The 12089-nt window shown below is 35.3% G+C and overlaps 1 protein-coding gene across 4 annotated transcripts in view; it reads right to left on the reverse strand.

Annotated features, from left to right (window-relative positions):
- The window catches only part of BRWD3 (bromodomain and WD repeat domain containing 3), a 140375-nt gene that overhangs the window by 65049 nt on the left and 63237 nt on the right, over positions 1 to 12089 (reverse strand). For all 4 annotated transcript variants that reach the window (NM_001441339.1, NM_153252.5, XM_047441957.1 and 1 more), the window contains exons 7-10: positions 11018 to 11178; positions 9481 to 9702; positions 1437 to 1537; positions 576 to 646 (exon numbers count right to left, since the gene is read on the reverse strand). In NM_001441339.1, coding sequence (NP_001428268.1) covers positions 576 to 646; positions 1437 to 1537; positions 9481 to 9702; positions 11018 to 11178 — 555 coding nt within the window. The remainder of the gene's footprint in view (positions 1 to 575; positions 647 to 1436; positions 1538 to 9480; positions 9703 to 11017; positions 11179 to 12089) is intronic.

The following is a 12089-nucleotide window of genomic DNA, read 5'->3' on the forward strand; positions in this document are numbered from 1 at the left end:
ATAGTGGTTGAGTGTAAAAAGTCAACTGCTTTTGGGATGATGAAAAAGTTTTAGAGATGGATGGTGTGACAGATGCAGACCAATGTGAATATACTGTACACTTAAGAATGGCTAAAATGATAAAATTTTAGGTTCTGTATATTTCACCACAATCAAAAAAAGGAAAAAAAAAAAGGTTAACTAATGTAGGATTCTTAGCAGTAGAGAAAGCACTGTAAAAGTGTTTTCAATATGGAGCAACAGTACATGTTTTTTTGTCAACTCTGGGCAGAATTTTTGTGTTGATTGCGGGGCAGTAAACTTTTTTGTTAGTGGGTATTTAGAGTAGGGGGTCTGTTTTTTACCAAGCAAAATCACCATTATATAAAAATGTATTAAATTATGAATAAGGAAAAAAAAATCAACCTTACACATTACTTAGAGTCCAAAAGAGTTTATCTATCATAACACATGGTTCAGATTTTTGATATCCTTCAATTAACACTCAAATGTGTATCTTTTTTCTTCATAAATCACTTTCACAACTGGATCGTTAAATATTCTAGATGCTCAAAACATTCCAGTTTTACACATACCAGAACTGAAAGATGAACAAGATATCTGGACTCCAGGTCTGGATCTCTCAGTAAATTTCACCGGGCGATCTCTAAAGATAAAAATAAGGTGTTTTTGTGTTTCATCATGTTTGGCTAATGGGCCAGAATGTTAGCGCACTACTGGATACTGATCAATTTAGCATCAATATTATAGAAAAAACAAAAGGAACGTGGTCAATAAGTACTATTCTCATCAATTAGGTTAAAAATGCATTTAACCTTGCAAATATACTTTATGATATCAGTATTATTACTATAGTTTTATTAACCATATTACTTACTACTACCATTATGAGAAATCTTCTTACCAAAGTAAGAAATGAAACAAATAAAATCCTACCAAGATTTTCTATATAAATTGTCTCTTCAACATTAATATCAAAAAAATTTTGGCTGGGCACAGTGGCTCACGCCTGTAATCCCAGCACTTGGGAAGGACAAGGTCAGGAGATCGAGACCATCCTGGCTAACACGGTGAAACCCTGTCTCTACTAAAAATACAAAAAATTAGCCAGGCATAGTGGCGGGTGCCTGTAGTCCCAGCTGCTTGGGAGGCTGAGGCAGGAGAATGGCATGAACCCGGAAGGCGGAGCTTGCAGTGAGCCAAGATCACACCACTGCACTCCAGCCTGGGCAACAGAGCGAGACTCTGTCTCAAAAAAAAAAAAAAAAAATTATCCTAAAATCTCTTAACAACCTATTGAAGTAGGTATGGATATGTATACACAAATACACATACACATATGTAAATATATATATTTAAATACATGGACTATTAAGAATCAAGGCAATAGATAAAAAATTAACATGCTTAATTTTTCACAAAATTTCTAAACTTACCTAAACTTCATTGTTTTTACATGCCATTGCCAGAAACAGATTGTTCCATCAGCACCAGTAGAAGTGAGGTATCTGTTTGTGCCTTTAGTTGATGGACAAAACTTAAAAAAAAAAAAATCTGATTCAAATAAAAAGTTTTCATGTTCAGCCTAACATCAAACACGGAGTATTTTCAAATTGTAATCATTTAACAAATATAATTTCAATAAATTCAGCTAAAAATTTTTGTTTCAAGGGACTATTTAACTTTCCTAGATTAATAAATACCTTATAAAAAATTTAAAATATCAAAAAAACTATAGGAAAAGTAACTGAACTTAGGGTAAAATGTTTTAGTTATAAAAAAATTACTTTTAAATTATTTAACATTACACTTTAAGATTTTTAATCACTTTCGGTGGAGAATAAACTCACAAGCACATTACTACTTAAACCTTTACAAATGTGCTATATATACACTTATAGAAACAACTGTGGAATTTTTATAGTTCAGATGGGCAGAGGATTAGAAGTAAATCTAAAAACACTTGGGAAGTTAATATCCAAGTATTTGGTTTTATTATTTATTTCACTTTAAAATCCAGTTCCATTCAATTGAAGTATATAATTTTGTCTTTTTTAGATGTAAGCCATTTGTTTCCATAAATAATGTAAAATAGTTCAAATCGTTATTCGTATCATATCATTGTGGGAAAACGGAGATCAAGTTAAAAAAAAAAAGTTGTCAATACAGAGGACTACTACTATGTCAGAAGGATCAAGGCCTTTATCATGTGGGCTTCTCAGGCTCTTACTCTCAGTATTTTACATATCCTCAGAAAAGAATCACAGAAAAGGGAAAAGAACAACTGAGCTCCTGATGTCTGGGACACAGGAAAAAGCTGAAAATTGGACAAGAGTTTCTGGCATGTCAGTGAGTTTTTAAAATCCCAAATGAAGATAATTAAACATTTCCATTGAGATGATGACTAAGGATTAAGATATATAGGGTTTGAATACATTTTGAATGCAAATCAAAAGAAAATTATCATTATAGAAATTTGAAGTAATTTACTTAGCTTCTTTGGAAGCACAGAACTTCTAAAGACAACAGAGATGAATTCAAACAAAAATTACTCATTAATATTATTCATTAACAACTGATGTGCAGTAAAGAAACCAGGACTCATGCCTATATAGTCCTCCGTTGGTATCATTGAGACATTGCTTCCAGGACCTCCCATGGATACTAAAATCAGTAGATGCTCAAGTCCCTGATATAAAATGGTATGGTATTTGCAGATAACATATGTACATCCTCCTGTATACTTTAAATTAAATCATCTCTAGATTACTGATAATACCTAATACAATGTAAATGCTGTAGTAATTTGTTGTTATACTATATTACTTAAGGGATAATGACAAGAAAAAAATCTGTACATGTTCAGTACGAATGTTAATTTTTTTCAAATGACTTTTGTTCCTCAGCTGGTTGAAGCCACAGATGCAGAATCTACGGATACAAAGGGTAAACTGTATTTTCATTTCTGAGATTGAGAAATTTGCATTAAAAAGCTTAATCTGGCTGGGCGCAGTGGCTCACACCTGTAATCTCAGCACTTTGGGAGGCCGAGGCAGGCAGATCACCTGAGGTCGGGAGTTCGAAACGAGACTGGCCGATATGGCAAAACCCCGTCTCTATTAAAAATAAAAAAATTAGCTGGGCATGGTGGCACATGCCTGTAATCCCAGCTACTCAGGATGCTGAGGCATGAGAATTGCTTGAAGCCAGAAGGCAGAGGTTGCAGTTAGCTGAGACCGTACCACCGCACTCCAGCCTGGGCTACACAGCAAGACTGTCTCAACAACAACATCAAAAGCTTACTCTAAAATCTACAGCAGTAATCCACAAATTATGGCCAACACACCAAATTCAGCTTATTGCCTGCTTCTGTAAATATAGTGTTATTGGAACACAGTCGCCTTACACTGTCTATGGCTGCTTTTGCACTATGGGAACAGAGCTGAGCAGTTGTGACAGAGATTGTATGACATGCTAAGCCTAAATATTTACTATCTGGCCTGTATATTTGCTGATCTCAGATCTACAGGAATTAGACAATTAAATATGAAATAGTATAATTTTATAAAGTGAAGAAATATTGAAACCTTTATCTCCATTGCATTTAAATTGCTTCATCTATCACAAAGGGGGACCTGGCCCATTAATGTGCCTTAATAGAATTGTTTTAATGAGAAATCATGTTATGGATTGTTTAATAAAAAATCGTGTTATGGATTGTTTAATAAAATCAGGTTACGGATTGTTTAATAGAATTGTTTTAAATGAGAAAACATGTTATGGACTGTTTAATACATACCTATTGTACAAAACTTAGGAAATGTGGAAAAACAGAAAAAAAGTAACACGTAATTCTGCCATTCAGTGGTAACCACTATTAGCATCATACCACTTTAACTATATTTTGTTAAAAAAAATACAAAACGTGGGAGAATAATATATCACTGATGTTAATAAACACAGCCAATACACAAATAATAAAGAACATGTAAAGAATACCAAAAGATGACTATTACTACAGACAAAAAAATGAAACAGAAGGGAAGATACAGAGTTGCTGTGCACACAGTGGAGGGGGTGGGGGGGGCAGTGGTTTACAATTTTAATCAGAGCAATAAGGTAGTCAGAGAAGGTCTCCCTGAGAGGGTGACATGTGCACAAAGCACATAGAAACTGAGAAAACAAACTATGTGAATATCCAGGGAAGACCACTCCAGAGACAGGAAACAGTTAAGAGCAAAGGCAGCCATGTACCTAGAATGTTCAAGAAAAGCAAAGTGGCCAGCAGTAAGCAGAGTGAAAAAGGCAAACAAACACGCAGTAGATGAGATTGAAGAGCGCCAAGGAGGCTGAGAATACAGAGCACTGTGAGTCACTGTGAAGACTTCAGCTTTAACTCTGAGATTGGAAGCTACTGATGGTCCTGAGCACCAGTGACACAATTTAACTGCCATTTTAAAATAACTTTGTCTGTTAAACTGAGAGACTAAACTGGGTGCAGGGGAAAGGGAATGGAAGATGCAGGCAGATCGGTTAGAAGTCTATTTCAATAATCTAGACCACAGGTGATAGTGCCTTAAAACAGGACAGCAATAACAGAGGTCATGAGAATTTGCCAGATTCTAGATACACTTTGATGGTAGAACCAACATGATTTGCTGACAAGTTAGACACAAAGTATAAGAGAAAGATAAAAGGGATGATCTACTCTGAGCAGTTGAAAGCATGGTATTGCCATTTGTTTGGATGAAAAGGCTTGGGGAGAAGATCTAAGGAAGAAAAAATAGTTCAATAATGAATATAATGAGTTTGAAATACCTAGTAGACATCCATGTGATGATGCCAAGAAGATAGTTGCATAAACAAGTATGGAGCTAAAAGATCCTAAATGGAGATGGAAGTTTGAGAATCATCAGTTTACAGATTAAATTCAAAACCATGAGATGACTAAGAGAAAGAGTATGATAGAGAGGTCTACAGATCTCTAAGGCACTACAATATGTAAAAGAAATGAGAAAATAAACAAGCAAATGAAACTATGAAAAAAACAACAGTATCATAAATATTTTTCATTATTTAGTAGACCCTCCTTATCTGCAGAGGACACATATCAAGACCTCCAGTGGATGCCTGAAACCTTGAATAGTACCAAGCCCTAAGTTTTTTCCTATGCCTACACACCTATAAGCTTAATTTATAAATTAGGCACAGTAGGAAATTAACAAATAATACCTAATAATAATGTTATAAAATTATAACAATATACTATAATAAAAGTTATATGAATGTGGTCTCTTTCCCAAAGTATGTCATTGCACTGCATTCACCTATTTTCAAACCATGGCTGATGGTGGGTAACTGAAACCTTGGAAAGCCAAACCGCAGATAAGGGGGACTACGATAATCAAATGATTTTTTTCAATGGCATATGACAGTATGTCCCAATTCCAGAAATAATCAGTCAGATATGATAGTGAGATCACAAGTAACTGATAATCTCCCAAATCAAAATGCATGAAATAATTTCAAATAATCAAAATGTTGACATGAATTTTTTTCAAATTCAACACACACTGAACCCAATTCTTGCTAGCTCCCCATAAAAAGATGATATATTATTTAAATAACACAAAAAATGGCATACTTATTATTTCCTAAAGAATAAACAAAAGTAAATGGGTATAATTATCTCCTCCAAAAGTGGTCTCTTTCTCCAAAGTGTAAAAATTTTAATATTTCTCTGTTTTGCTCTCAACAGAAAGAAGAGGACAAAAGCTCATCTTCATTAGTTTCATTAAATAAAAAATATTTTAAGTTATCCATGACTTTCACTACCAACATCTGGTAAAACCACTATGTGGACAATTATTAAAAGAAGCCAACGTATTCCACATTAAAAATCAAATTGAGGCTGAGTGCAGTGGCTCACGTGCCTGTAATCCCAGCAATTTGGGAAGCCAAAGCCAGAGGATCGCACTTGAGTCCAGGACTTTGAGACCAGCCTAGGCAACATGTCGAATCCCTGTCTCTACAAAAAAAATACAAAATATAGCCGGATGTGGTGGCGCATGCCGGTAGTACCAGCTACTCAGGAGGTGGAGGTGGGAAGATCACTTGAACCTGGGAGGTGGAGGCTGCAGTGAGCCGAGATCCCACCACTGCACTCCAGCATGGGTGACAACAAAACAAAACAAAACAAAACACATCAAATTGAAATAAAAAATCACTGAAACTAAGAATAAAAATGTCCCTCACATTAACCTAAACACAGACACACACATACTAACTCTGACTGGCAAACATCTTGCATTAAATATTAATACAAGGTATGCCAATATTCAAGTTAGAACCTGTTTATATTCTTTTTTTAAATTATACTTTAAGTTTTAGAGTACATGTGCACAACATGCAGGTTTGTTACATACGTATACATGTGCCATGTTGGTGTGCTGCACCCATTAACTCATCATTTAACATTAGGTATATCTCCTACTGCTATCCATCCCCCCTCCCCCACCCCACAACAGGCCCTGGTGTGTGATGTTCCCCTTCCTGTGTCCAGGTGTTCTCATTGTTCAATTCCCACCTATGAGTGAGAACATGCGGTGTTCGGTTTTTTGTCCTTGCGATAGTTTGCAGAGAATGATGGTTTCCAGCTTCATCCATGTCCCTGCAAAGGACATGAACTCATCACTTTGTATGGCTGCATAGTATTCCATGGTGTATATGTGCCACATTTTCTTAATCCAGTCTATCATTGTTGGACATTTGGGTTGGTTCCAAGTCTTTGCTATTGTGAATAGTACTGCAATAAACATCTGTGTGCGTGTGTCTTTAGAGCAGCATGATTTATAATCCTTTGGGTATATACCCAGTAATGGGATGGCTGGGTCAAATGGTATTTCTAGTTCCAAATGCATGAGGAATGGCCACACTGACTTCCACAATGGTTGAACTAGTTTACAGTCCCACCAACAGTGTAAAAGTGTTCCTATTTCTCCATATCCTCTCCAGCACCTGTTGTTTCCTGACTTTTTAATGATTGCCATTCTAACTGGTGTGAGATGGTATCTCACTGTGGTTTTGATTTGCATTTCTCTGATGGCCAGTGATGATGAGCAGTTTCTCATGTGTCTCTTGGCTGCATAAATGTCTTCTTTTGAGAAGTGTCTCTTCATATCCTTCGCCTACTTTTTGACGGGGTTGTTTGTTTTTTTCTTGTAAATTTGTTTGAGTTCATTGTAGATTCTGGATATTAGCCCTTTGTCAGATGAGCAGGTTGCAAAAACTTTCTCCCATTCTGTAGGTTGCCTGTTCACTCTGATGGTGGTTTCTTTTGCTGTGCAGAAGCTCTTTAGTTTAATTAGATCGCATTTGTCAATTCTGGCTTTTGTTGCCATTGCTTTTGGTGTTTTAGACATGAAGTCCTTGCCCATGCCTATGTCCTGAATGGTATTGCCTAGGTTTTCTTCTAGGGTTTTTATGGTTTCAGGTCTAACATTTAAGTCTTTAATCCATCTTGAATTAATTTTTGTATAAGGTATAAGGAAGGGATCCAGCTTCAGCTTTCTACATATGGCTAGCCAGTTTTCCCAGCACCATTTATTAAATAGGGAATCCTTTCCCCATTGCTTGTTTTTCTCAGGTTTGCCAAAGATCAGATGGTTGTAGATATGTGGCATTATGTCTGAGTGCTCTGTTCTGTTCCATTGGTCTATATTTCTGTTTTAGTACCAGTACCATGCTGTTTTGGTTACTGTAGCCTTGTAGTATAGTTTGAAGTCAGGTAGTGTGATGCCTCTGGCTTTGTTCTTTTGGCTTAGGATTGACTTGGCAATGTGGGCTCTTTTTTGGTTCTGTAGTTTTTTCCAATTCTGTGAAGAAAGTTATTGGTAGCTTGATGGGGATGGCATTGAATCTATAAATTACCTTGGACAGTATGGCCATTTTCACGATACTGATTCTTCCTACCCATGAGCATGGAATGTTCTTCCATTTGTTTGTATCCTCTTTTATTTCATTGAGCAGTGGTTTGCAGTTCTCCTTGAAGAGGTCCTTCACATCCCTTGTAAGTTGGATTCCTAGGTATTTTATTCTCTTTGAAGCAATTGTGAATGGGAGTTTACTCATGATTTGGCTCTCTGTTTGTCTGTTATTGGTGTATAGGAATGCTTGATTTCTGCACATTGATTTTGTATCCTGAGACTTTGCTGAAGTTGCTTATCAGCTTAAGGAGATTTTGGGCTGAGACGATGGAGTTTTCTAAATATACAATCATGTCATCTGCAAACAGGGACAATTTGACTTCCTCTTTTCCTAATTGAATACCCTTTATTTCCTTCTCCTGCCTGATTGCCCTGGCCAGAACTTCCAGCACTATGTTGAATAGGAGTGGTGAGAGAGGGTATCCCTGTCTTGTGCCAGTTTTCAAAGGGAATGCTTCCAGTTTTTGTCCATTCAGTGTGATATTGGCTGTGGGTTTGTCACAGATAGCTCTTATTATTTTGAGATACATCCCATGAATACCTAATTTATTGAGAGTTTTTAGCATGAAGCGTTGTTGAATTTTGTCAAAGGCCTTTTCTGCATCTATTGAGATAATCATATGGTTCTTGTCTTTGGTTCTGTTTATATGCGGGATTATGTTTATTGATTTGCATATGTTGAACCAGCCGTGCATCCCAGGGATGAAGTCCACTTGATCATGGTGGATAAGCTTTTTGATGTGCTGCTGGATTTGGTTTGCCAGTATTTTATTGAGGATTTTTGCATCGATGTTCATCAAGGATATTGGTCTAAAATTCTCTTTTTTTGTTATGTCTCTGACAGGCTTTGATATCAGGATGATGCTGGCCTCATAAAATGAGTTAGGGAGGATTCCCTCTTTTTCTATTGATTGGAATAGTTTCAGAAGGAATGGTACCAGCTCCTCCTTGCACCTCTGGTAGAATTCGGCTGTGAATCCATCTGGTCCTGGACTTTTTTTGGTTGGTAAGCTATTAATTATTGCCTCAATTTCCGAGCCTGTTATTGGTCTATTCAGAGATTCAAGTTCTTCCTGGTTTTGTCTTGGGAGGGTGTATGTGTCGAGGAATTTATCCATTTCTTCTAGATTTTCTAGTTTATTTGCATAGAGGTGTTTAAGGTATTCTCTGATGGTAGAACTCATTTATATCCTAATAGGAAAGAGTGTGCTCTTAAGGCATTTACAGGTTTTCTCCCTTCTTAACAAATACAAATAAGATATCTCACTCTATTTATAGAACTTTTTAAATCATCTTTTTAGTTATTTATTAAAAAAGATAATCATATGAAAAAGGAACTTAAAAAAATATCTTGCTGCAGGGTAGGAGCAAAGTCCAGAAGAGAGCATTTTTCTCTTGTTATTCTTTGGGCTATTATCTATACAATGTAACATGAAATCAGAGAATTCTCACCTTTTTTACATATGTTCAAGCTAAATTTTATCACTTTTCTTACCTGTATGGAAGTAATAGAAGCTGAATGGCCCTGAAGGACTGCAACGGGTGCACAAGTTCGAAGACACCATACTCTTACTACCTTATCACAGCTGCCTGCAGCAATAAGAGTGTTTTCATAGTTAACAGCCATGTCAGAAATTTCAGCAGAGTGTCCACGAAGTGTAGCAAGAAGGCGTCCATCATCTGTAGCCCAAATTTTTACTAAACAGTCATCTGAACCCTATAGTAACAAAAGGACAATAGGTTTATAATGAAGCAGAAATTCACAATACCCCCACCCAAAAAATAGCCAAAAAGAAGATTTTATTAAATTACTTCTAAGCCTTTACTTTCTAGTCTCCTCTCTACATATAATAGGGATCCAGTAGCAAGTATAAATGATGTCCAAATGATAGCAATAACAAAGCATTGTCCAAAGTGACAATGGCATTTGTGAAGAACTTTTCAAAATTACCACCAATACTGACAATGCAAAATATTTTAAACTCACTTTTTAGTGATTTGGCATTAAGTATTTTTACCATCATTTCTTTCTTTAGGCTTGACAGCCTTTTTTCTAAATTATTTAAATATTTTTTCCACAAATTATTCAGAATTTAACCTAAAGTCTACATGCATTTCTCAGTAAACATGAGGCTACCCGTTAATGATAATTTCTGGTAAAAATATATTAAACTTCCTTTTGAGAATTTCAGAAGAGTGAACAGTAAAAAGCAATTCTACTCTACTATGGTAGAAAAGTTACTTAACAATTATCTATTTATTAAAACATAGCATTCATCATCCTCATCATGATCACTAACATCCAAATACTTATGTGACGCATTTAGAGCCATTAAGTCATTAATGGAAGAGTCCAAAATAAACTCTAAGGTGTAATAACTTCCCGAATAACTTCCACTTCATTCGTTGTAGCATACAAATATAAAAATAAAATTATGCTATTATCCACACTTCTATGTTAATACTAAAGCAATGAGATTAAGCTTTCTTTTGGAAATACTGGTGTACTACAATTTTGTACTCAAAAGCATACAGTATTATCTGCTTAATAAAAATTCAGCTTAAAAAATAACCAGTACTGAAACCAAAAAAAAGATATAAAAAATAGCTATAATCTTCATCACAGTGTAGTTCAACTATCTAATCAAAAAAAGTGATGAAATCATTATTTAGGGAAAACTGGCAGCAATTACACTGAGTGACACATTAACAAACATTTAATAAATGTTTGTTAAAACTGAATGAAATGAAATTGAGTACACTTGTTTCACATAAATTAACCACTTCTAGAATATAAGGTCTTCTGAAGATTTAACTTTTTAAAATTAAACTTCCAAGAAGATAGTAAACATTTTTGTTCATTCGTTTACTTATATAAAATGAGAAACTTTTTTCAATTTCCACTCATCTTTTTCTGCACCCATATATCCAAAAAAAGTGAACTGCTTACAAAGCACAATGCAATGCCATGCAGTCTGGCTTCAATTGTTGTAATTCTATATATGTTACCATATTATAAATTTTACACTCACTGTAAAAATTCTTCTCCCGCTTCGGTCAAATGCTACACAGTAGACAGATGACAAGTGCCCCAGAATTCTCTTATGCATCTTAATGTGCTGGTAAGCAGATGAAGGGAAAATATGACCAAAGCGACTACAGCCGGTTAATTGCCTGGCAGAGGTGATATTCACTGAAAAAAATACGAAATTAACTTAAAACTTAAAAGTGAAACTGATTTCATGAAATTAAGTCATAAATATTAAGATGAGACAAAACAGAGTACATATATTATAGCAATTCTGCCCTGTGAGAAGTCTAAATTCCCTTACATAGTTCATGATTTTATGAACTCCAGTTTACTACAAGAAAGCACCAAGAATACTCTTCCATTAAATCCCAAGGGACTGATATTCTGCTTGGCTTACTGTGGTTTCTCAAGCACATTCTCCTTTTGCCTTTCTTGGTACGCTATAGTCAAAGAGACTGTCATTTTAAATATATAGGTAAATCTTTCTATAACATGAAGAAATTTTAGAATAAAACTGTACTTGGTTAAGTATATTCCTCTAAAAAATTATACAGGAATTTCATAAATTATTGTCCTACCTCCTCACACCTATCCACCATATGTATGACTGCCCCTAAAAATTCAAGAGTAATACAAGTAAAAAAAAACTATACAGTGAAAAGATAAGGAAATCTATGATGTTACAAATATTTTATGTTACAAACAACCTAGGTTTGTCTATGGGTTCTTTCCTTTTGGTTTCTGAATTTAGAGGCTCTCCCTGTAGTTAACAATGAACTTTAAAGGCTTCATCTCCTATGAAGTCATTTTAAGTCCTATCTCATTTTTTTTTCTTGTTCGCTTTGCCTTGTTCTGCATTTTCTTAAAAAAAAAGCCATAACATAGCATAAGTCTACACAATTCTTCTCCAAATACCACGTGGATTCTGCTCATGCTAAAAAACAAATCTTGATCTCTATGTAAAAATTTACAGCCACCCACTTGCCCTGTGAAATCCTTCATCTTCCCTTATACACTAAAAGTGCTTAACACCCCACACAATGTATTTTAATCAAAACATAGGCTCCCTATAA

Source organism: Homo sapiens, chromosome X (genome assembly GCF_000001405.40).
Source record: "Homo sapiens chromosome X, GRCh38.p14 Primary Assembly".
In the NCBI taxonomy this organism is placed as follows: Eukaryota; Metazoa; Chordata; class Mammalia; order Primates; family Hominidae; genus Homo; species Homo sapiens.